The following is a 21743-nucleotide window of genomic DNA, read 5'->3' on the forward strand; positions in this document are numbered from 1 at the left end:
AAACAGTGGAAACTAGAAGATTAAGTGCTCATAAAAAATACACTGCTAAACTGGAATTTGGTATCACTAAAAACTGAAAAGGAAAGTGCAGATTAAATAACAGAAAATATAAATTAGAAGGAAAATTATAGTCATGATAGAATACATGTGATTGCATGCAAATCATATAGCTATATAATGAGTCATTGAAACCAAAAGTTTTATGCAGAAAGCATGTCAACTCAGAACTATATAATAATCATGGGTCTAATAATTAGGAAATGTATGTTGATAAGGAAAAACATTTCATTGATACCAAATAATTTTCTCACTCTTTAACTGGGAAAACTTTTTTTCTCATTAGAGTGACGAAAAGTTAATATTCATTAAGGACATAAAATATAACGTAAGATCGAGCAAATATTCAAGGCTGGAGGCAACTGAAGAAAAAACACGTCCAACTTCAGGATGGGTCCTAGATCAGAAAAAGGATATTAAAAACTAGTGCATTTAAAAATTCATTAATTAAAATAATAAAAATTTTAAAATAAATAATAAAAATAAAATTAAAAGTCGGTAATTTGGCCAGGCACAGTGGCTCATGCCTGTACTCCTAGCACTTTGGGAGGCCGATGTGGACAGATTTCCTGAGCTCAGGAGTTCGAGACCAGCCTGGGCCACATGGTGAAACCCCGTCTCTACTGAAACATAAAAAATTAGCTGGGTATGGTGGCATGCACCTGTAGTCCCAGCTACTCAGGAGGCTGAGGTGGGAGAATTGCTTGAACCAGGAGGCGGAGGTTGCAGTGAGCGGAGATCGCACTACTGCACTCCAGCCTGGGTGACAGAGTGAAACTCCGTCTCCATTTAAAAAAAAAAAAAAAAGTCTGTAATTTAGTTAATATAGTGCCAAAGTTACTTTCCTGTTCTTTATAATTGTACTGTGATAAGGTAAGATGTTAACGTTAGAGGAAGCATGGATTAGAATTACAAACACCTTCTTTGATCTGTTTTTGCACCTTTTCTATAAATCTAAAATGTATTCATAATAATAATTTTAAAATAGGCATTAGGAAATGTACTTCCAGCACAGCATAGACAGCTTTGTTCAAATCCTAGAGTCATCACTTACTAGCTGTATGATTTTGAAAAAGTTACTTAACCTCAGGCCGGGCGCGGTGGCTCACACTTGTTAATCCCAGAACTTTGGGAGGCTGAGGCGGGCAGATCACCTGAAGTTGGGAGTTCGAGACCAGCCTGACCAACATGGAGAAACACCGTCTCTACAAAAAAATTAGCCAGGCATTGTGGCACATGCCTGTAATCCCAGCTATGCGGGAGGCTGAGGTGGGAGAATCGCTTGAACCCAGGAGGCAGAGGTTGCTGTGAGCTGAGATCGCGCCGTTGTACTCCAGCCTGGGCAACAAGAGCAAAACTCCTTCTCAAAAAAGAAAGAAAAGAAGAGAAGAGAAGAGAAGGGAAAAGAAAGTTACTTAACCTCTCTGATACTCATAGACCCCATATATAAGTCGGCAATACTAACAGCATTTACTTCATTCCGTTGTTATGATAGTAAATGAGTTAATATTAGAAAAATGCCTGTCACACAGCCAGCATTGAAGAAGTAATAGATAAACTATTACTAAGAAGTTTTCACTGATTAAGAATGCAATTAGGTAAAGTTGCAGTTGGTTAATAAAATATCCAGAGTCTCTGAAGAGAGAAAAAGCAAGGAGAAACAGATCATTGAAACAGAGATCAACTTTGAACAAAATATAGTTTTCCACTCAGGCTAAAGGAAAGAGGGTAGAGTGAATGTCTAACAATGTGTATTACTGGAAAAAGGAAGTTGGACTTTCTTATCTGAGATGCTTTAATTTTTTTTATAAAATGAAAGTAGGGATCTTGGCTAAAAATGAGTTGGAGGAAGGAGTTTAAAGCAGATGGTTTGTGTGTGTTTGTAGATAGGTCAGAGGAACCTTTTGGAGAAGAAAAGAGTTCTGATGATTCTTTTAGACATGTTGATAGCTGAACTTGTAAATAGACTGATGATATTTACTAGAAGGAACGCTCTTATTTATGGAATTCTCTTAGGAGGATGTTCCTCATTTAGGTTTGCTTATGACAAACAAATCTAGGTTCTATGAATTTATGGGGCATGGCACTCTGGAAAATGTCATGCAAGTTAGGTGACTAATTTGAGGTATAAAATGGAGATATGGTGTAACCTAAATGTTCCCTGCTATGTAAAGTAATAACCCATGAGTACTTCTTTGTAGACCTTATCCATTACTCTGAACCACGCACTGTGCATGTCTAACGCAGGAATAATGAACTTTGAGAGCCATGCAGATGTCTCAGACCTCTCCATACTTCATCTGTACTTCTTGATCGCTTTTATTCTTGAAATTAATACAAGAAGGTCTCTCATTTATGTGAGTTGAATTGACAATCCAATCCTTTGGGTTAGCTGATTTAGTAGGTAATGGTGCAGCAGGAAGTTTGAGAAAATTCAGTTTAGAATTGAGAAGGGAGCTGATAAAGGACACATAGCTAGGCAGTGTTGGAGATCAGCAGGAACTAGACACAATGAATGGATATGGCATCAATACTCATGAACATGCCATTCTTCCAGCAGTGCTTGGCAACTCAGGTTGAGGAACAGAGAAGGTGGATGGCTTAGGTAATGGAATTGGATGCTTTTTAAATGTCAGTGGCTGTCAAAACTGTATAATAAAGGAATTTAGAGCAGTGGCAAAAAGAAAAGACAGAGAAAGAGAAAGTGGTTGAAATGAGATATGGGCAAGATTGAATATGGAAAGTAATAAAAGCATAAGAGCTATATAGCATACGCTATGAAGAAACTAGACCTGAATTTAAATTATGTCCTCCACTTCCCTTGAACAATTTATTTAACCTCTCTATGCTTCAATTTCCATAGATGTGAAATGGGATAATAATTCCTACTTCACATCAAATGGCTTAAATCAGACAACTCATGTAAAGCACTTGGGCAATCTAAGTGTACAATAAATTGTAATTTTATTGAATAAATTGGTTTAAGGAAAATAAAAAGGTTAAGAACGCCAAGGTCTTGATGAAGTGAAGGCCTTGTTTAAGCAGAAATAAAGAAGTGAAAAGATTTAAATGAATATGAAGTTGGTCAGAGGATGGAATATTAGAGTTGATAGTTTTAAGGATGGAAGAGTTCCAGGGAATAAAAGGGCCCAGGATTGGAACCAAGGTTCATGGCTAGTTAACATATATGAGTCTGATGGTCACTGATACTGATAAAATCCGAGAGCCATGAGGCTGCTCAGACAGATCCCAAAATAAGAGGCAGTGTTAACATGTTTACTTTTCACTGAAATCATCATCATCATCACCATAAAGATACATCTTAAAACTCTACCTTATAAAGTCTTAAATTAAACCTTGAAATTTGTGTTAAAAATAGGTTGATTTGATTTTATTATTTCCTAGGCAATGAAAACATTGTGAGGAAAAAGGTGTTTCTCTGTTAACTCCAGTGGATCCAGTTGCACTGTTTACCTATGAACAACACACAAACTGAGGTCAATTAAGCAATGAGACAAGAAACACTATTTAATGTAATGGCAGTTTTCATTTAAATTATATTATAAACAATACTCCATTTGGCTAATTTACAAGATCAAAGCATAATTATTCTACCATAGTTTCTGGAAGACAAATTAGTTTAAATCACTACCAGATTTGCAAAATTAGTTATGTAATATAGCATTTCAGCAGAATAAATGATTTAAACTAACTTGTTGAAATTAATAGTGGTGCACTTGAGAATAATTCAGAGATGTTTAATCAAAGGAAAATATGTAAAGATAGGAAATAGGCAAGGTTTAAAATATACTAGTATCAATGTGAATAAAATTTACCCAGTTCTTCTGTATTTTAGTAATATAATTAGTCCAGAAAATATATAGTAACTAATAATTGGACAAAATAATTAGAACAGTTAGAATCTGCAAAATGATGACCAATGCTCTTGAACATAATTATAAGGAATTACAAATGGGAAGGTAAAACTATAATTCTAAATATTAAACCAAATAATATCCATATAATTTGTTTTAAGTATTAATAGTCTATTCAGAAGAATATTTAATATCTATTGTGAATATGATAAAACATTATTACATTATAATGACAAAAATTTTTCTTTTTAAAATTTGGTTTATTTTGCAAAATCCCAAGCATGCGAATATTTAGACATTAATTTTTTCTCATTCTAGTTTCTGGTTTTATGGCTAAATTTTTCTAGTTTCACATAATATTATATACTTTTATTATATTATTTATTATATTTCATTATTTTATTACAATGATAATATTTTAAATATTAATATAGTTTATTATATTCACACAGTAATGTAATAAAATGTATTAGGGTTTCATATTTATAAAATCATAATCAATGGATTTTACCACAGGTTTTTATCAAATTCATTTATTCTTTCCTAGTGAAGAAAGGAGTGGTTTGACAGCTATTTCTACCACCATTGTAGAGCAGTGACCAGCATCATTTCTGAAGTTACAGTGCAGATAATGTTTCTATTATTTAAATTTGTTAAAAAATTAATAGCTATTATATAATATTCATCTTAAAGGTCTAAATGCACTTCACCTTCTTTTCTTGGTTCTCACATTTGTCCCTTTAATGAAGAATTTGACCAAGGAAGACCCTCTATCCTCTGACCTCTTCTATTTTCTCTCCTCTAAAAAAATTATTGCATACAAAGTAATGTATGCTTATTCTAAATAGTTGTGATGGATAACTTGATGTGTCAACTTGATTGAGTTATGGGATGCCCAGATAGTTTGTAAAACAATATTTCTGGGTGCATCTATATGCTTTTCAGAAAAAAAAGATTAGCCTTTTAATCAGTGGACTCACCAGTGTGGGCTGGAATCATGCAATCAGTTGAGAGTTCAAATGGAACAAAAAGCCAAAGGAAGGGCAAATTATCTCTCTCTTCTTGAGTTGTCACATCCATCTTTTTCTGCCCTTGGACATCGGAGCAGGGCCCAGTGCACCAGGTTTTCTAGCTCTCAAACTTGTGAATGGTATCTCATGGGACTTCTCAGCCTCCATAATCATGTGAGCCAGTTCTCGTAACAAGTTCCCTCTTACGTCTATATACATAAAATCTATCTATATCCTCTCTTTATGTCTCTCAGGAGAACTCTAATAATGCATTAATCAAATATTACAAAAATCTTACGATGAAAAGCAACAGTATCCCTCTACTTTGTTCTCTAACTCACATCTATTCCCCCAAACAACCTCTTAACCATTCTGTTTTAATAACTCTGAATAATATACTTCTATATACCTTAGATTATTGATTTAACAGATTTATCATGTTTATTCTTTTTTCCACCTTTACTTTCTTCTCTTAATGTTTATAATTAGGTCGTTACCTTAAATTCTCCTATTGCTTATGTTTGTCACTTTAAATGATATCTTTAACCTCTATTTCTTGTTCTGTGAATTTTAGGTAGGATCCCTTAACTCTACACTTTAAAAATTAAGATATGGTAGAATTTTTTTGGCAAGAAAAAAATTAAAAAGAAGAAAAACTTAAGCTATTTGGCTCCTTACTCTTCCTTCAACTTTTCTTCCACACCAGAGTCCTTTCCACATCCCACCATCTACCACCTACTTTTTCCTTTTATATTTCCAAGGTTGTTAACATTTACCTTCATGCAATCACCACCCGGGTTTCTGTGCTTTTTCACAGATTGACTCTAAATATAATGACCCAGAAACAGCATTTACATTATCCTTATTGTGTAAATATTCTTTAAAGTTGGACCAAGTACTATATTAAGATTGCATTACTTTTTTCTGTGGACCAAATACAACCCCTAGGGTCACTCAAAAGAGATTGTGATGGCTTTGTAATGTGTTAGTGCGTTATGCTACCAGCTAGGCTGACCTATGTGTTCTGGAATTCCTCTCCCTATATGATTCATATTAGATTGGGCCACAAGAGACATTCTGTGTCAGATTTTGAAGGCAGAAATGAAAAAGTGGTTATATTGTTTGTATGCTCAGAAGATCAAGGAAGAGGCAACAGGAGGTTTTAGCTCTCACATATTTTCTTATTTAGCAGCTCACATTGTTGGGTAGGAGCAGAAGCCCAGCCTGCAGCTGCTCCATCTTCCCCTAGGTCTTTCTGTTTCTTCTTCTTTCAGTTTCTTCTACGCCAGGTGTGTGCTTAGCTCCATGACAAAAGGTGACAGCTTATTCTGCAGCACACACACATCATCAAAGTGGGAGGTGGTGAGACTGGCACACTGACAGTCTGTCCTAGCAGATTTCAGCTCACACTGGTGAGTTCCAGCATGCTTATACCGCTATTTTACACGTCTTCCCTTCGCCATTGTCTATCTGCAGACTTCTCCAACATCAGATGCCAGATGTCTCATGGAAACTAAATAACTTCTACAATTGTGTGTGTATTTATATAATTGATACAAATATTGGTTCTAACATCAATTCCAAGTTGATTTTTTAACATTCAACAATTACTTCCAATTGTGTCACTTCTTATTTTGCTTCATATTTTTTACTGACATTTCTAATTATATTTCTTGGTTCCTTGAATTTGTAACTTTATCATACTCATATTCTTCCTCATTCTTAATCATATTGTCCATAGAGTTCCTTCCCCCACACCTTTCCCCCAACCCCATAGATAAACTTATTTATTTCCTTCAATCGAGGACTATGCAAACTATAATTATGGGATTTCTTTGACTTCTTTACCAGTTAGACACACTGTTTCCAAAATTCCATATAACCTTTGTGCACTCTTCTGTTTTACTTTAATATATCCTGTTAGTCACAAAGAAAAATTGATGAAGAATAAATATTTTGAATTTTGCATGATTAAAAATGTCTTCAAACAATCATCATATATGGTTGATGGTCTGAGCATAAAACATTTTGTCTCATAAATTTGAAAAATATTTTTATAGAAGTTTTTAGTGTCTTTTCTCCTTGGTGATCTGTAAAATGTTACAAGAATATGCCTTTGTGGGGATCTTTTTGCAGTCTCAGACACCTAGTGGATCCAGATCCTTTTAATCTGAAGACTCATGTCCTTTTCAGTTTTAAATAATTTCCTTATATCCGTATCTTTAATAATACTTCCTCTTCCATCGCCACCACCCCATCCTAACCCCAAGCACGCACTATTTTTTGTTCTCTTTCTAAGACTCTTACTAACCAAAAGTTGAACATTCCATATTTGAACCCTATGCCTCATTTCCTTGCTAACATTTCCATTACTTTCTCATTTGGGTCTACTTTCTGGGAGATTATTATCTTTTATCTCAATGGTTACATTTTAATCTGTAGAAGCTCTCTTTTATTGTGTAATAGTTTTCTTTGCATTACTTTCCTGTTCTTGGATTAAGATTAATAAAAAAATACTAATATCCTCTTTAAATTTCTATGAATATATTAACTATTTCAGATACAATGGAAAGGACACTGGCCTTGAGTCAGATATCTGGACCTTGATTATTTAATGTACCAAACAAGGATAATATTTACTATTCCACAGGATTATTTTGAATATTAAAAGAGATAATATATTTTAAGAGCCTTGTAAATTATGAAATATGTAAGTACAACATAAGAAAGATATTTAAATTATTATATATCCCTGCATGACAATGTTTCTGAGCATGGCAATTAAATGCTTTTACGAACCCACGTTTAGTTATTTCCTTCTATAATGTTCTATATACATAAAACTTCAACCACATCACACAATGAAACTTGTGGAGTTATTTTTTTGAGTCCTTTGCTGTCATTCCTCCAGGCCTTGCTTTTGTTAATGGAGCAGACACTGTCATATATACCCAATATTCATTTTCCACATCTTCAGTAATAAAATCCTGTTTTTAGCAAAACACATCATTTCCCCACTTCTCCACCTCTCTTGAGGTTGCTTCCAGAAATAAACAGAATCAGTGTACACAACTTTTGGTAAATGTTTGGAAATAAAGAGGGCATGCTCTTCTTCCCTACTATCCCTTTCCTTTCTGCTGGCTGGAATGCAGATATGATGAATGGAAATAATGTGGCCGTCTTAGAGCCTGAGCTGGAAGCCATGTATGGAATATGGTGGAGAAACAACATGGAGGGAACACCCTTGGCTCCTACCTCTGAGTACAGTACCCATGCTAGACTAACTATACCTAGATTTCTTTTATGGGAGCAAGAGACAGTTTCCTAGCTTGTCAGACCAATATAACTTGGGGTTTTCTACTACTCCATGATGAACCTAATCCTAATTAATATGCTGTTATAGTTTCTCAGCCTTTTGGTTAAGATCAGATATACTAAGACACTCCCCATCAGGACATGACAGTATTTACTCATCCTTTATGAGCCAATGAAAGCATCACCCTCTCTAGTAAGTCCTGCCTAATGAGACCTCCCCAATAGGATTTAATGTCTTTATTATAGAATATATTTTTCATGAGACAAAGGATCCTGTTTATTTTATTCACTAGTGTGTGCCTAGTGCCTTGAAAAATGTGTGGGCCATATTAAGCAGGTGTTTGTTTGTTTTTTGAGATGCAGTCTCGTTCTGTCACCAGGCTGGAGTGCAGTGGCATGATCTCGGCTCACTGTAAGCTCTCCCTCCCGGGTTCACGCCATTCTCCTGCCTCAGCCTCCCGAGTAGCTGGGACTACAGGCGCACGCCACCACGCCGGGCTAAATTGTTTGTATTTTTAGTAGAGACGGGGTTTCACCGTGTTAGCCAGGGTGGTCTCAATCTCCTGACCTCGTGATCCGCCTGCCTTGGCCTCCCAAAGTGCTGGGATTACAGGCACGAGCCACCACGCATGGCCTTAAGCAGTTAAATAGTTGTTAAGTATGCACAACTCTATAACCCTTAGGATTTTGTGGTTACCTCAGCTAAACCATAGATGCTTTTCCCAAGCCTCTCTCCCTACACAAATTGTAACCTCACTAGCGGGTAAAACCGTATATATGTATCACTTACTTTGCTCCTTAATATATGGTACATGACTGACAGTACTTATGAATTGAATAATTTAAATGAGAATAAGTGTAATGATATATAAAAAATTATTTTTAAAATAAAATTTACATAAAAGTATTACAATTTGAGATGAACTACATCAACACTTTTTCATCAAAAAATAGTGTTTTCTCTCCCCTGATTATAATGAGACAATTTAGTGACTGCTTTTATCAAACATAATAGAGCAAACCACAATCTGACTTGGAGCAATTTGCTGGACTTCCAAACCTCAGTTTTGTCATTAATAATATGAGGTTCATATCCACCACATTTGGCATCTTGGACTGTGCTTGATTAACACTTGTGCTCAGTAAGTGGTAGCTGCAATTCTTATAGTGACTAAGAAAAAGCATTATCTTTAAAATTTACTGATTTAAAGTTTTATATACATTCATTTATTCAATAGCTATTTGCTTGATCCCTACAATGTAACAGCAATCTAGATGCTGGGGACACAAGGTCCACCTTCCAGGAATATGGCCATGACACCAGAAATCACAAACATGATGAGAATGGAATGACTGGGGAAGAAGTGCCAGATGCTTCACTTGTAAATGAAGACCCAGCCTCTGGGGATGCAGATACCACCTCCCTGAAGAAGCTGAATATCTGCAGATAAGTGGAGTTCACCAATGATGAGGAGCGGGATGGAGAAAGGAGGTAGGGAGAGTCATCCAAGGAACATGAGCAACATGTTAAAAGGTAAGAAGTGAGACAATGGTGAGGTGGTGAAACTTAACAAGTCGGCCATGGCTGGGGGTGAGAGTGAGGGAGGGTGGTGGGAAATAAAGTTGCTGGGATAGGGAGAAGCCAGATGATGCAGCTTTTGCAGGACATGGTACAGATTTGGGAAAATATTGTAAGGTTTTGGGAGAGTATGAGGGATTTATGGGTCAGGTTTATATTACAAAGATTATTCTAAAAATATTAGGCCTCCCGAGGCACTCAAGCCTTTTACCTTGCAGTTTCTACTCACCCTTTGGGACTCAGCTCAAATGACATTTCCTCGGGGGTGCTCCCTGATACCCAGATTGTGCACCCTGTGATTCTCCTTCAGAGTATCACAAGTCGAATAAAATCGTTAATAATAGAAAAAATATCCTGTATGTAAATAGGCTACTTTAAAATGAAATCATTTCACATGTATTATATTTTCTATTTAAATAAATTCTACCATTAAATTTTTGAAACATATTTACCTCTTAACTATATGTCTAGTTAAGAAAGTCCAAGTCTTTGAAGATTTTATTTTGTTGTAATCAATACTTGTAAATATATGTGGATATATAAAAATGCACATAAATGACATAATTTTAAATGTAAAAGACCAATGTGTATATGTTTTTAACACATTTTTAGGGTAATAGGTACTAGTATTATTTTATTTTTTATTTTTTATTTTTTTGAGATGGAGTCTTGCTCTGTCTCCCAGGCTGGAGTGCAGTGGCGCAATCTTGGCTCACTGCAAGCTCCACCTCCCGGGTTCACGACATTCTCCTGCCTCAGCCTCCCGAGTAGCTGGGACTACAGGCGTCCGCCGCCACGCCTGGCTAATTTTTTTGTATTTTTAGTAGAGACAGGGTTTCACCGTGTTAGCCAGGATGGTCTCAATCTCTTGACCTCGTGATCCACCTGCCTCGGCCTCCCAAAGTGGTGGGATTACAGGCTTGAGCCACCGTGCCCGGCTTATTATTTTAAATTATAACTTGTTCTATTTGAAGCAAGGAACTGAATACACTTATAAACCATTTATTTAATGATGTACATTTCAAATATTATCAAATTTAATCAACACTTTTAAGAATAAAAATAGTTTATTGAGTTTTTCTGCTTACAATTATGGTAGTCATGCAAAAATCCATGTATTCCCTTCTCTGGTTATCAAATCTAACATTTCTTTCAAATATTGACCAATCTATTGTGAACAACATGTTTTTCCCATATATAAGGCAAACCAACTGATTGTTTTTATTAGCAACAAAGGTCATGGGAAAAAAACAGAAAAAGCCTGACATATTAATCCTAAAATGGCAAAGCGTGTGTAAATGTAAAGTAAAAGGTTATGTAAATGAAGGAGGTTAAGACCTAAAAGGTTATGACACAGTTGGATCATTCTCATTACAGAAACATTAACATAGATGAGTACAATCTGCAGGCCAGCTAAATCTAAATTGCACGACTGCACCCAAGGGAACTGAAACAATTTCCATAGTTTCCTTAAACATAGAGCTAAACAATTTAAGTTTGAGAGAGTTGCTAAGTTATTTAGAAGAACTATTTAATCTTTAACAGTAAAATATTAAACCAAAGAGATTTTGTGATCTAGTACTTATTTCTAGAGAGTAATAAATTTATTATTCACATATTCTGAATGAGCTTGCATCAATCACTACAAGACATTCAATCAAATTCATCTTGAAAAATGAAATGGCAAATGCATTTAAATTCAAGAAAGCCAATTTAGAGCAATTGACTATAATTAAGAATGTTCACTGGGATGAGGTCTACTAGATTCGTGAATATATAAAAAGGAGCCTTGAAAACACTAAAAGTTAAATACCAGGATTAGGATGTGAACATTCAACTGAAAAGAATAAGATTGGAAAAACGGTTGTGTGAATGCATGAGTAAGTGAGCGAGAATGCATGGGTGTGTATGGGCGTATGTATGCCTCCACATTTATAGAACCACAGTTAAGGTTTCTGAAAGGAGGAACTGGGATTCTTCCTCCCTCTTTAGCTTCACCCATTGTCATGATCAGAGAGTAGTATATTCCTTGTCCTTTCTCCTCCGATAAAATAAGAACTTGGCATCTTGTGAGTTTATACCTTAATTATGGAAAACTTACTAGAGAGTCTTTGGATTAAGAAGAGTACACCCTGTAGATATGATATCAAGCAAATTCACTTTCTGAAACCAAGCTTTTAGGAGAAGCAGAAGGTTCCCTGGCACCCTCTTGAGTGGCTACTATCTGAGCAAAAAGAATTAAAAGTTATCAGCCTTGAAACTACCAGACAGTCGATCCAGAACAAACTGTGCCTGCTTATGAAGCAAGGCTTTTTCACCCTTAGTTGGAAGTTCCAAAAGATAGAGCTTCTTTAAGTGCAGTTAAATTCATACTCTGAGCTTACTATAGTTCCAGCAACACCTTCAAATGGCTCCTCCCCAAAGAGTATCACATTAATGTTGCTGGCAGGCACAGTTGCCAATTTAATTAATACTTTTGAGTGCACAATCTTCAAAAGAGTAGTTCTAAATTTAACCAAAAACACTTGCCATGATTTTAAAAATCAACACATTTGGTTTCCTTCACTCCTCCAACAACTGTAATTGAATCACTGCCAAATACAGAACACTGGGGTAGGTGCCTCAGGAATGTGCAGCCACTTACAAGAGTTGGGGGGTGGGGGTGGGAAATACAGTCAACTAAAACAAGGCAGAGTGTAGTGAATGCCAAAAGTTGGATTCGAAGGCTATGAGTGCGAGGTGAAGGCAAAGAACATAGTCCTACATCTCTTTCCCTCCACTACTACAATCTACTTCCAAAGACCTGTCCCACTATCCCTCAACATCCAACAATTCACTTCTTTTCTGCCCAGCCTAAATTCCAGCGGAATTCAGTTTCTCTCCACCTTCAAATTCTTTTTTTTTTAATATTTGCCTGCTATATATTTTTTCATTCTTTTTTTTTATTATACTTTAAGTTTTAGGGTACATGTGCGCAATGTGCAGGTTAGTTACATATCTATACATGTGACATGCTGGTGCGCTGCACCCACTAACTCGTCATCTAACATTAGGTATATCTCCCAGTGCTATCCCTGCCCCCACCCCACAACAGTCCCCAGAGTGTGATATTCCCCTTCCTGTGTCCATGTGTTCTCATTGTTCAATTACCACCTATGAGTGAGAATATGCAGTGTTTGGTTTTTTGTTCTTGCGATAGTTTACTGAGAATGATGATTTCCAATTTCATCCATGTCCCTACAAAGGACATGAACTCATCATTTTTATGGCTGCATAGTATTCCATGGTGTATATGTGCCACATTTTCTTAATCCAGTCTATCATTGTTGGACATTTGGGTTGGTTCCAAGTCTTTGCTATTGTGAATAGTGCCTCAATAAACATACGTGTGCGTGTGTCTTTATAGCAGCATGATTTATAGTCCTTTAGGTATATACCCAGCAATGGGATGGCTGGGTCAAATGGTATTTCTAGTTCTAGATCCCTGAGGAATCGCCACACTGACTTCCACAATGGTTGAACTAGTTTACAGTCCCACCAACAGTGTAAAAGTGTTCCTATTTCTCCACATCCTCTCCAGCACCTGTTGTTTCCTGACTTTTTAATGATTGCCATTCTAACTGGTGTGAGATGATATCTCATTGTGGTTTTGATTTGCGTTTCTCTGATGGCCAGTGATGGTGAGCATTTTTTCATGTGTTTTTTGGCTGCATAAATGTCTTCTTTTGAGATGTGTCTGTTCATGTCCTTTGCCCACTTTTTGATGGGGTTCTTTGTTTTTTTCTTGTAAATTTGTTTGAGTTCATTGTAGACTCTGGATATTAGCCCTTTGTCAGATGATTAGGTTGCGAAAATTTTCTCCCATTTTGTGGGTTGCCTGTTCACTCTGATGGTAGTTTCTTTTGCTGTGCAGAAGCTCTTTAGTTTAATTAGATCCTATTTGTGAATTTTGGCTTTTGTTGCCATTGCTTTTGGTGCTTTAGATATGAAGTCCTTGCCCATGCCTATGTACTGAATGTTAATGCCTAGGTTTTCTTCTAGGGTTTTTATGGTTTTAGGTCTAACGTTTAAGTTTTTAATCCATCTTGAATTGATTTTTCTATAAGGTGTAAGGAAGGGATCCAGTTTCAGCTTTCTACATATGGCTAGCCAGTTTTCCCAGCACCATTTATTAAATAGGGAATCCTTTCCCCATTGCTTGTTTTTCTCAGGTTTGTCAAAGATCAGATAGTTGTAGACATGCAGCGTTATTTCTGAGGGCTCTGTTCTGTACCATTGATCTACATCTCTGTTTTGGTACCAGTGCAAGGCTGGTTCAATATACGCAAATCAATAAATGTAATCCAGCATATAAACAGAACCAAAGACAAAAACCACATGAGTATCTTGATAGATGCAGAAAAGGCCTTTGACAAAATTCAACAACGCTTCATGCTAAAAACTCTCGATAAATTAGGTATCGATGGGATGTATCTCAAAATGATAAGAGCTATCTATGACAAACCCACAGCCAATATCATACTGAATGGGTAAAAACTAGAAGCGTTCCCTTTGAAAACTGGCACAAGACAGGGATGCCCTCTCTCACCACTCCTATTCAACATAGTGTTGGAAGTTCTGGCCAGGGCAATTAGGCAGGAGAAGGAAATAAAGGGTATTCAATTAGGAAAAGAGGAAGTCAAATTGTCCTTATTTGCAGACAACATGATTGTATATCTAGAAAACCCCATTGTCTCAGCCCAAAATCTCCTTAAGCTGATAAGCAACTTCAGCAAAGTCTCAGGATACAAAATCAATGTACAAAAATCACAAGCATTCTTATACACCAATAACAGACAAACAGCCAAATCATGAGTGAAATCCCATTCACAATTACTTCAAAGAGAATAAAATACCTAGGAATCCACCTTACAAGGGACGTGAAGGACCTCTTCAAGGAGAACTACAAACCACTGCTCAATGAAATTAAAGAGGATACAAACAAATGGAAGAACATTCCATGCTCATGGGTAGGAAGAATCAATATCGTGAAAATGGCCATACTGCCCAAGGTAATTTATAGATTCAATGGCATCCCCATCAAGCTACCAATGACTTTCTTCACAGAATTGGAAAAAACTACTTTAAAGTTCATATGGAACCAAAAAAGAGCCCGCATTGCCAGGTCAATCCTAAGCCAAAAGAACAAAGCTGGAGGCATCATGCTACCTGACTTCAAACTATACCACAAGTCTACAGTAACCAAAACACCTTCAAATTCTTAACCAAAGTCTTTTAACTATACCCACTCTGCAAATTCTCAGAGAGAGCATTCCAAACTTTCAGTGCCTCTATTCCTAAAAATACATATTCTTGATGAAAAACCCCATGCAATTTTAGAGAATGATGCCAAATTTACAAATTTAAGATGTCTAACATCAAAGAAGCCTTCAGGCAACCTGTTAATCCTTTGACTTTCCTCAGCAATTCTCTCTCTCTCATTCTCTTCATCAAATACCCAGAACTTCCAATATTCTCTGCAAATTCACCATTTCTCACTCTCAACAGATATAGCCTGAGAAAAACAGAATGAAAATTAAGGTCACAAAGTGTAAACTCCCTCGGTGTTCGGTTTTCATACATGCTTCCACAGGCTATTTTTCTCGTGCCTCCTACCCAAGTCTAATTTTCCCTCAGTGCTCTAGAGCTCAACCAAACTGCAACACCTGCCTTCAGCAACTTTTAGTCCTTTTAATCCTCAATTGGTTCTTTTCATTGCCCTTTTTTCCATTCAGCCTGCATACATGTGCAACACTCTCCCTTCTTTGCAAATATCTTTCTATAACTGTGTGCCCCTCTATCTCTTTACATCACTTCACTGATGTCTGGCATCACTGTGTTTTACTGATTTTAAAAGTTCATTGTAGAATATTTGAAAAATGAAGAAATGTATGATAAAAGTTGCTGCAATGCCATGGTCCAGAGATAACTATTTTGGTTAACTTTTTAACAAATTTATGTATTCTTTCTAGCATTTCATTCTATTTATGTATATGTGTGAGCTAGTCTATTTTCTATCAGATTTTAGCTGAGGTATAATATAGCTTAAATCCTTTTTTTTTTTTTTTAATTTTTTTTTTTATTATACTCTAAGTTTTAGGGTACATGTGCACATTGTGCAGTTTAGTTACATATGTATACATGTGCCATGCTGGTGCGCTGCACCCACTAACGTGTCATCTAGCATTAGGTATATCTCCCAATGCTATCCCTCCCCCCTCCCCCGACCCCACCACAGTCCCCAGAGTGTGATATTCCCCTTCCTGTGTCCATGTGATCTCATTGTTCAATTCCCACCTATCAGTGAGAATATGCGGTGTTTGGTTTTTTGTTCTTGCGATAGTTTACTGAGAATGATGGTTTCCAATTTCATCCATGTCCCTACAAAGGACATGAACTCATCATTTTTTATGGCTGCATAGTATTCCATGGTGTATATGTGCCACATTTTCTTAATCCAGTCTATCATTGTTGGACATTTGGGTTGGTTCCAAGTCTTTGCTATTGTGAATAGTGCCGCAATAAACATACGTGTGCATGTGTCTTTATAGCAGCATGATTTATAGTCCTTTGGGTATATACCCAGTAATGGGATGGCTGGGTCAAATGGTATTTCTAGTTCTAGATCCCTGAGGAATCGCCACACTGACTTCCACAATGGTTGAACTAGTTTACAGTCCCACCAACAGTGTAAAAGTGTTCCTATTTCTCCACATCCTCTCCAGCACCTGTTGTTTCCTGACTTTTTAATGATTGCCATTCTAACTGGTGTGAGATGATATCTCATAGTGGTTTTGATTTGCATTTCTCTGATGGCCAGTGATGATGAGCATTTCTTCATGTGTTTTTTGGCTGCATAAATGTCTTCTTTTGAGAAGTGTCTGTTCATGTCCTTCGCCCACTTTTTGATGGGGTTGTTTGTTTTTTTCTTGTAAATTTGTTTGAGTTCATTGTAGATTCTGGATATTAGCCCTTTGTCAGATGAGTAGGTTGCGAAAATTTTCTCCCACGTTGTAGGTTGCCTGTTCACTCTGATGGTAGTTTCTTTTGCTGTGCAGAAGCTCTTTAGTTTAATTAGATCCCATTTGTCAATTTTGGCTTTTGTTGCCATTGCTTTTGGTGTTTTGGACATGAAGTCCTTGCCCACGCCTATGTCCTGAATGGTAATGCCTAGGTTTTCTTCTAGGGTTTTTATGGTTTTAGGTCTAACGTTTAAATCTTTAATCCATCTTGAATTGATTTTTGTATAAGGTGTAAGGAAGGGATCCAGTTTCAGCTTTCTACATATGGCTAGCCAGTTTTCCCAGCACCATTTATTAAATAGGGAATCCTTTCCCCATTGCTTGTTTTTCTCAGGTTTGTCAAAGATCAGATAGTTGTAGATATGCAGCATTATTTCTGAGGGCTCTGTTCTGTTCCATTGATCTATATCTCTGTTTTGGTACCAGTACCATGCTGTTTTGGTTACTGTAGCCTTGTAGTATAGTTTGAAGTCAGGTAGTGTGATGCCTCCAGCTTTGTTCTTTTGGCTTAGGATTGACTTGGTGATGGGGGCTCTTTTTTGGTTCCATATGAACTTTAAAGTAGTTTTTTCCAATTCTGTGAAGAAAGTCATTGGTAGCTTGATGGGGATGGCATTGAATCTGTAAATTACCTTGGGCAGTATGGCCATTTTCACGATATTGATTCTTCCTACCCATGAGCATGGAATGTTCTTCCATTTGTTTGTGTCCTCTTTTATTTCCTTGAGCAGTGGTTTGTAGTTCTCCTTGAAGAGGTCCTTCACATCCCTTGTAAGTTGGATTCCTAGGTATTTTATTCTCTTTGAAGCAATTGTGAATGGGAGTTCACTCATGATTTGGCTCTCTGTTTGTCTGTTGTTGGTGTATAAGAATGCTTGTGATTTTTGTACATTGATTTTGTATCCTGAGACTTTGCTGAAGTTGCTTATCAGCTTAAGGAGATTTTGGGCTGAGACGATGGGGTTTTCTAGATAAACAATCATGTCGTCTGCAAACAGGGACAATTTGACTTCCTCTTTTCCTAATTGAATACCCTTTATTTCCTTCTCCTGCCTGATTGCCCTGGCCAGAACTTCCAACACTATGTTGAATAGGAGTGGTGAGAGAGGGCATCCCTGTCTTGTGCCAGTTTTCAAAGGGAATACTTCCAGTTTTTGCCCATTCAGTATGATATTGGCTGTGGGTTTGTCATAGACAGCTCTTATTATTTTGAAATACGTCCCATCAATACCTAATTTATTGAGAGTTTTTAGCATGAAGGGTTGTTGAATTTTGTCAAAGGCTTTTTCTGCATCTATTGAGATAATCATGTGGTTTTTGTCTTTGGCTCTGTTTATATGCTGGATTACATTTATTGATTTGCATATGTTGAACCAGCCTTGCATCCCAGGGATGAAGCCCACTTGATCATGGTGGATAAGCTTTTTGATGTGCTGCTGGATTCGGTTTGCCAGTATTTTATTGAGGATTTTTGCATCAATGTTCATCAAGGATATTGGTCTAAAATTCTCTTTTTTGGTTGTGTCTCTGCCCGGCTTTGGTATCAGAATGATGCTGGCCTCATAAAATGAGTTAGGGAGGATTCCCTCTTTTTCTATTGATTGGAATAGTTTCAGAAGGAATGGTACCAGTTCCTCCTTGTACCTCTGGTAGAATTCGGCTGTGAATCCATCTGGTCCTGGACTCTTTTTGGTTGGTAAACTATTGATTATTGCCACAATTTCAGAGCCTGTTATTGGTCTATTCAGAGATTCAACTTCTTCCTGGTTTAGTCTTGGGAGAGTGTATGTGTCAAGGAATGTATCCATTTCTTCTAGATTTTCTAGTTTATTTGCGTAGAGGTGTTTGTAGTATTCTCTGATGGTAGTTTGTATTTCTGTGGGATCGGTGGTGATATCCCCTTTATCATTTTTTATTGTGTCTATTTGATTCTTCTCTCTTTTTTTCTTTATTAGTCTTGCTAGCGGTCTATCAATTTTGTTGATCCTTTCAAAAAACCAGCTCCTGGATTCATTGATTTTTTGAAGGGTTTTTTGTGTCTCTATTTCCTTCAGTTCTGCTCTGATTTTAGTTATTTCTTGCCTTCTGCTAGCTTTTGAATGTGTTTGCTCTTGCTTTTCTAGTTCTTTTAATTGTGATGTTAGGGTGTCAATTTTGGATCTTTCCTGCTTTCTCTTGTAGGCATTTAGTGCTATAAATTTCCCTCTACACACTGCTTTGAATGCGTCCCAGAGATTCTGGTATGTGGTGTCTTTGTTCTCGTTGGTTTCAAAGAACATCTTTATTTCTGCCTTCATTTCGTTATGTACCCAGTAGTCATTCAGGAGCAGGTTGTTCAGTTTCCATGTAGTTGAGCGGTTTTGAGTGAGATTCTTAATCCTGAGTTCTAGTTTGATTGCACTGTGGTCTGAGAGATAGTTTGTTATAATTTCTGTTCTTTTACATTTGCTGAGGAGAGCTTTACTTCCAACTATGTGGTCAATTTTGGAATAGGTGTGGTGTGGTGCTGAAAAAAATGTATATTCTGTTGATTTGGGGTGGAGAGTTCTGTAGATGTCTATTAGGTCTGCTTGGTGCAGAGCTGAGTTCAATTCCTGGGTATCCTTGTTGACTTTCTGTCTCGTTGATCTGTCTAATGTTGACAGTGGGGTGTTAAAGTCTCCCATTATTAATGTGTGGGAGTCTAAGTCTCTTTGTAGGTCACTCAGGACTTGCTTTATGAATCTGGGTGCTCCTGTATTGGGTGCATAAATATTTAGGATAGTTAGCTCCTCTTGTTGAATTGATCCCTTTACCATTATGTAATGGCCTTCTTTGTCTCTTTTGATCTTTGTTGGTTTAAAGTCTGTTTTATCAGAGACTAGGATTGCAACCCCTGCCTTTTTTTGTTTTCCATTGGCTTGGTAGATCTTCCTCCATCCTTTTATTTTGAGCCTATGTGTGTCTCTGCACGTGAGATGGGTTTCCTGAATACAGCACACTGATGGGTCTTGACTCTTTATCCAACTTGCCAGTCTGTGTCTTTTAATTGCAGAATTTAGTCCATTTATATTTAAAGTTAATATTGTTATGTGTGAATTTGATCCTGTCATTATGATGTTAGCTGGTGATTTTGCTCATTAGTTGATGCAGTTTCTTCCTAGTCTCGATGGTCTTTACATTTTGGCATGATTTTGCAGCGGCTGGTACCGGTTGTTCCTTTCCATGTTTAGCGCTTCCTTCAGGAGCTCTTTTAGGGCAGGCCTGGTGGTGACAAAATCTCTCAGCATTTGCTTGTCTATAAAGTATTTTATTTCTCCTTCACTTATGAAGCTTAGTTTGGCTGGATATGAAATTCTGGGTTGAAAATTCTTTTCTTTAAGAATGTTGAATATTGGCCCCCACTCTCTTCTGGCTTGTAGGGTTTCTGCCGAGAGATCCGCTGTTAGTCTGATGGGCTTTCCTTTGAGGGTAACCCGACCTTTCTCTCTGGCTGCCCTTAACATTTTTTCCTTCATTTCAACTTTGGTGAATCTGACAATTATGTGTCTTGGAGTTGCTCTTCTCGAGGAGTATCTTTGTGGCGTTCTCTGTATTTCCTGAATCTGAACGTTGGCCTGCCTTGCTAGATTGGGGAAGTTCTCCTGGATAATATCCTGCAGAGTGTTTTCCAACTTGGTTCCATTCTCCACATCACTTTCAGGTACACCAATCAGACGTAGATTTGGTCTTTTCACATAGTCCCATATTTCTTGGAGGCTTTGCTCATTTCTTTTTATTCTTTTTTCTCTAAACTTCCCTTCTCACTTCATTTCATTCATTTCATCTTCCATTGCTGATACCCTTTCTTCCAGTTGATCGCATCGGCTCCTGAGGCTTCTGCATTCTTCACATAGTTCTTGAGCCTTGGTTTTCAGCTCCATCAGCTCCTTTAAGCACTTCTCTGTATTGGTTATTCTAGTTATACATTCTTCTAAATTTTTTTCAAAGTTTTCAACTTCTTTGCCTTTGGTTTGAATGTCCTCCCGTAGCTCAGAGTAATTTGATCGTCTGAAGCCTTCTTCTCTCAGCTCGTCAAAATCATTCTCCATCCAGCTTTGTTCTGTTGCTGGTGAGGAGCTGAGTTCCTTTGGAGGAGGAGAGGCGCTCTGCGTTTTAGAGTTTCCAGTTTTTCTGTTCTGTTTTTTCCCCATCTTTGTGGTTTTATCTACTTTTGGTCTTTGATGATGGTGATGTACAGATGGGTTTTCAGTGTAGATGTCCTTTCTGGTTGTTAGTTTTCCTTCTAACAGACAGACCCTCAGCTGCAGGTCTGTTGGAATACCCTGCTGTGTGAGGTGTCAGTGTGCCCCTGCTGGGGGGTGCCTCCCAGTTAGGCTGCTCGGGGGTCAGGGGTCAGGGACCCACTTGAGGAGGCAGTCTGCCCGTTCTCAGATCTCCAGCTGCGTGCTGGGAGACCCACTGCTCTCTTCAAAGCTGTCAGACAGGGACACTTAAGCCTGCAGAGGTTACTGCTGTCTTTTTGTTTGTCTGTGCCCTGCCCCCAGAGGTGGAGCCTACAGAGGCAGGCAGGCCTCCTTGAGCTGTGGTGGGCTCCACCCAGTTCGAGCTTCCCGGCTGCTTTGTTTACCTAAGCAAGCCTGGGCAATGGCGGGCGCCCCTCCCCCAGCCTCGTTGCCGCCTTGCAGTTTGATCTCAGACTGCTGTGCTAGCAATCAGCGCGATTCCGTGGGCGTAGGACCCTCTGAGCCAGGTGTGGGATATAGTCTCGTGGTGCGCCGTTTCTTAAGCAGGTCTGAAAAGCGCAATATTTGGGTGGGAGTGACCCGATTATCCAGGTGCGTCCGTCACCCCTTTCTTTGACTCG

The 21743-nt window shown here is 37.6% G+C and overlaps 1 long non-coding RNA gene across 7 annotated transcripts in view; it reads left to right on the forward strand.

Annotated features, from left to right (window-relative positions):
- SCHLAP1 (SWI/SNF complex antagonist associated with prostate cancer 1) overlaps positions 1-21743 on the forward strand; it is a 224836-nt gene that overhangs the window by 125613 nt on the left and 77480 nt on the right. For 4 of the 7 annotated variants that reach the window (NR_104325.1, NR_104324.1, NR_104319.1 and 1 more), the window contains one exon: positions 9525-9791. The exons of 1 other annotated variant lie outside the window; for it this stretch is intronic. This is a non-coding gene — a long non-coding RNA (SWI/SNF complex antagonist associated with prostate cancer 1). Of the gene's footprint in view, positions 1-6216; positions 6355-9524; positions 9792-21743 lie in introns of all 7 variants that reach the window. 2 more of the 7 variants (NR_104322.1, NR_104323.1) reach the window with 1 other exon arrangement.

This window comes from Homo sapiens, chromosome 2, assembly GCF_000001405.40.
Source record: "Homo sapiens chromosome 2, GRCh38.p14 Primary Assembly".
NCBI lineage: Eukaryota > Metazoa > Chordata > Mammalia > Primates > Hominidae > Homo > Homo sapiens.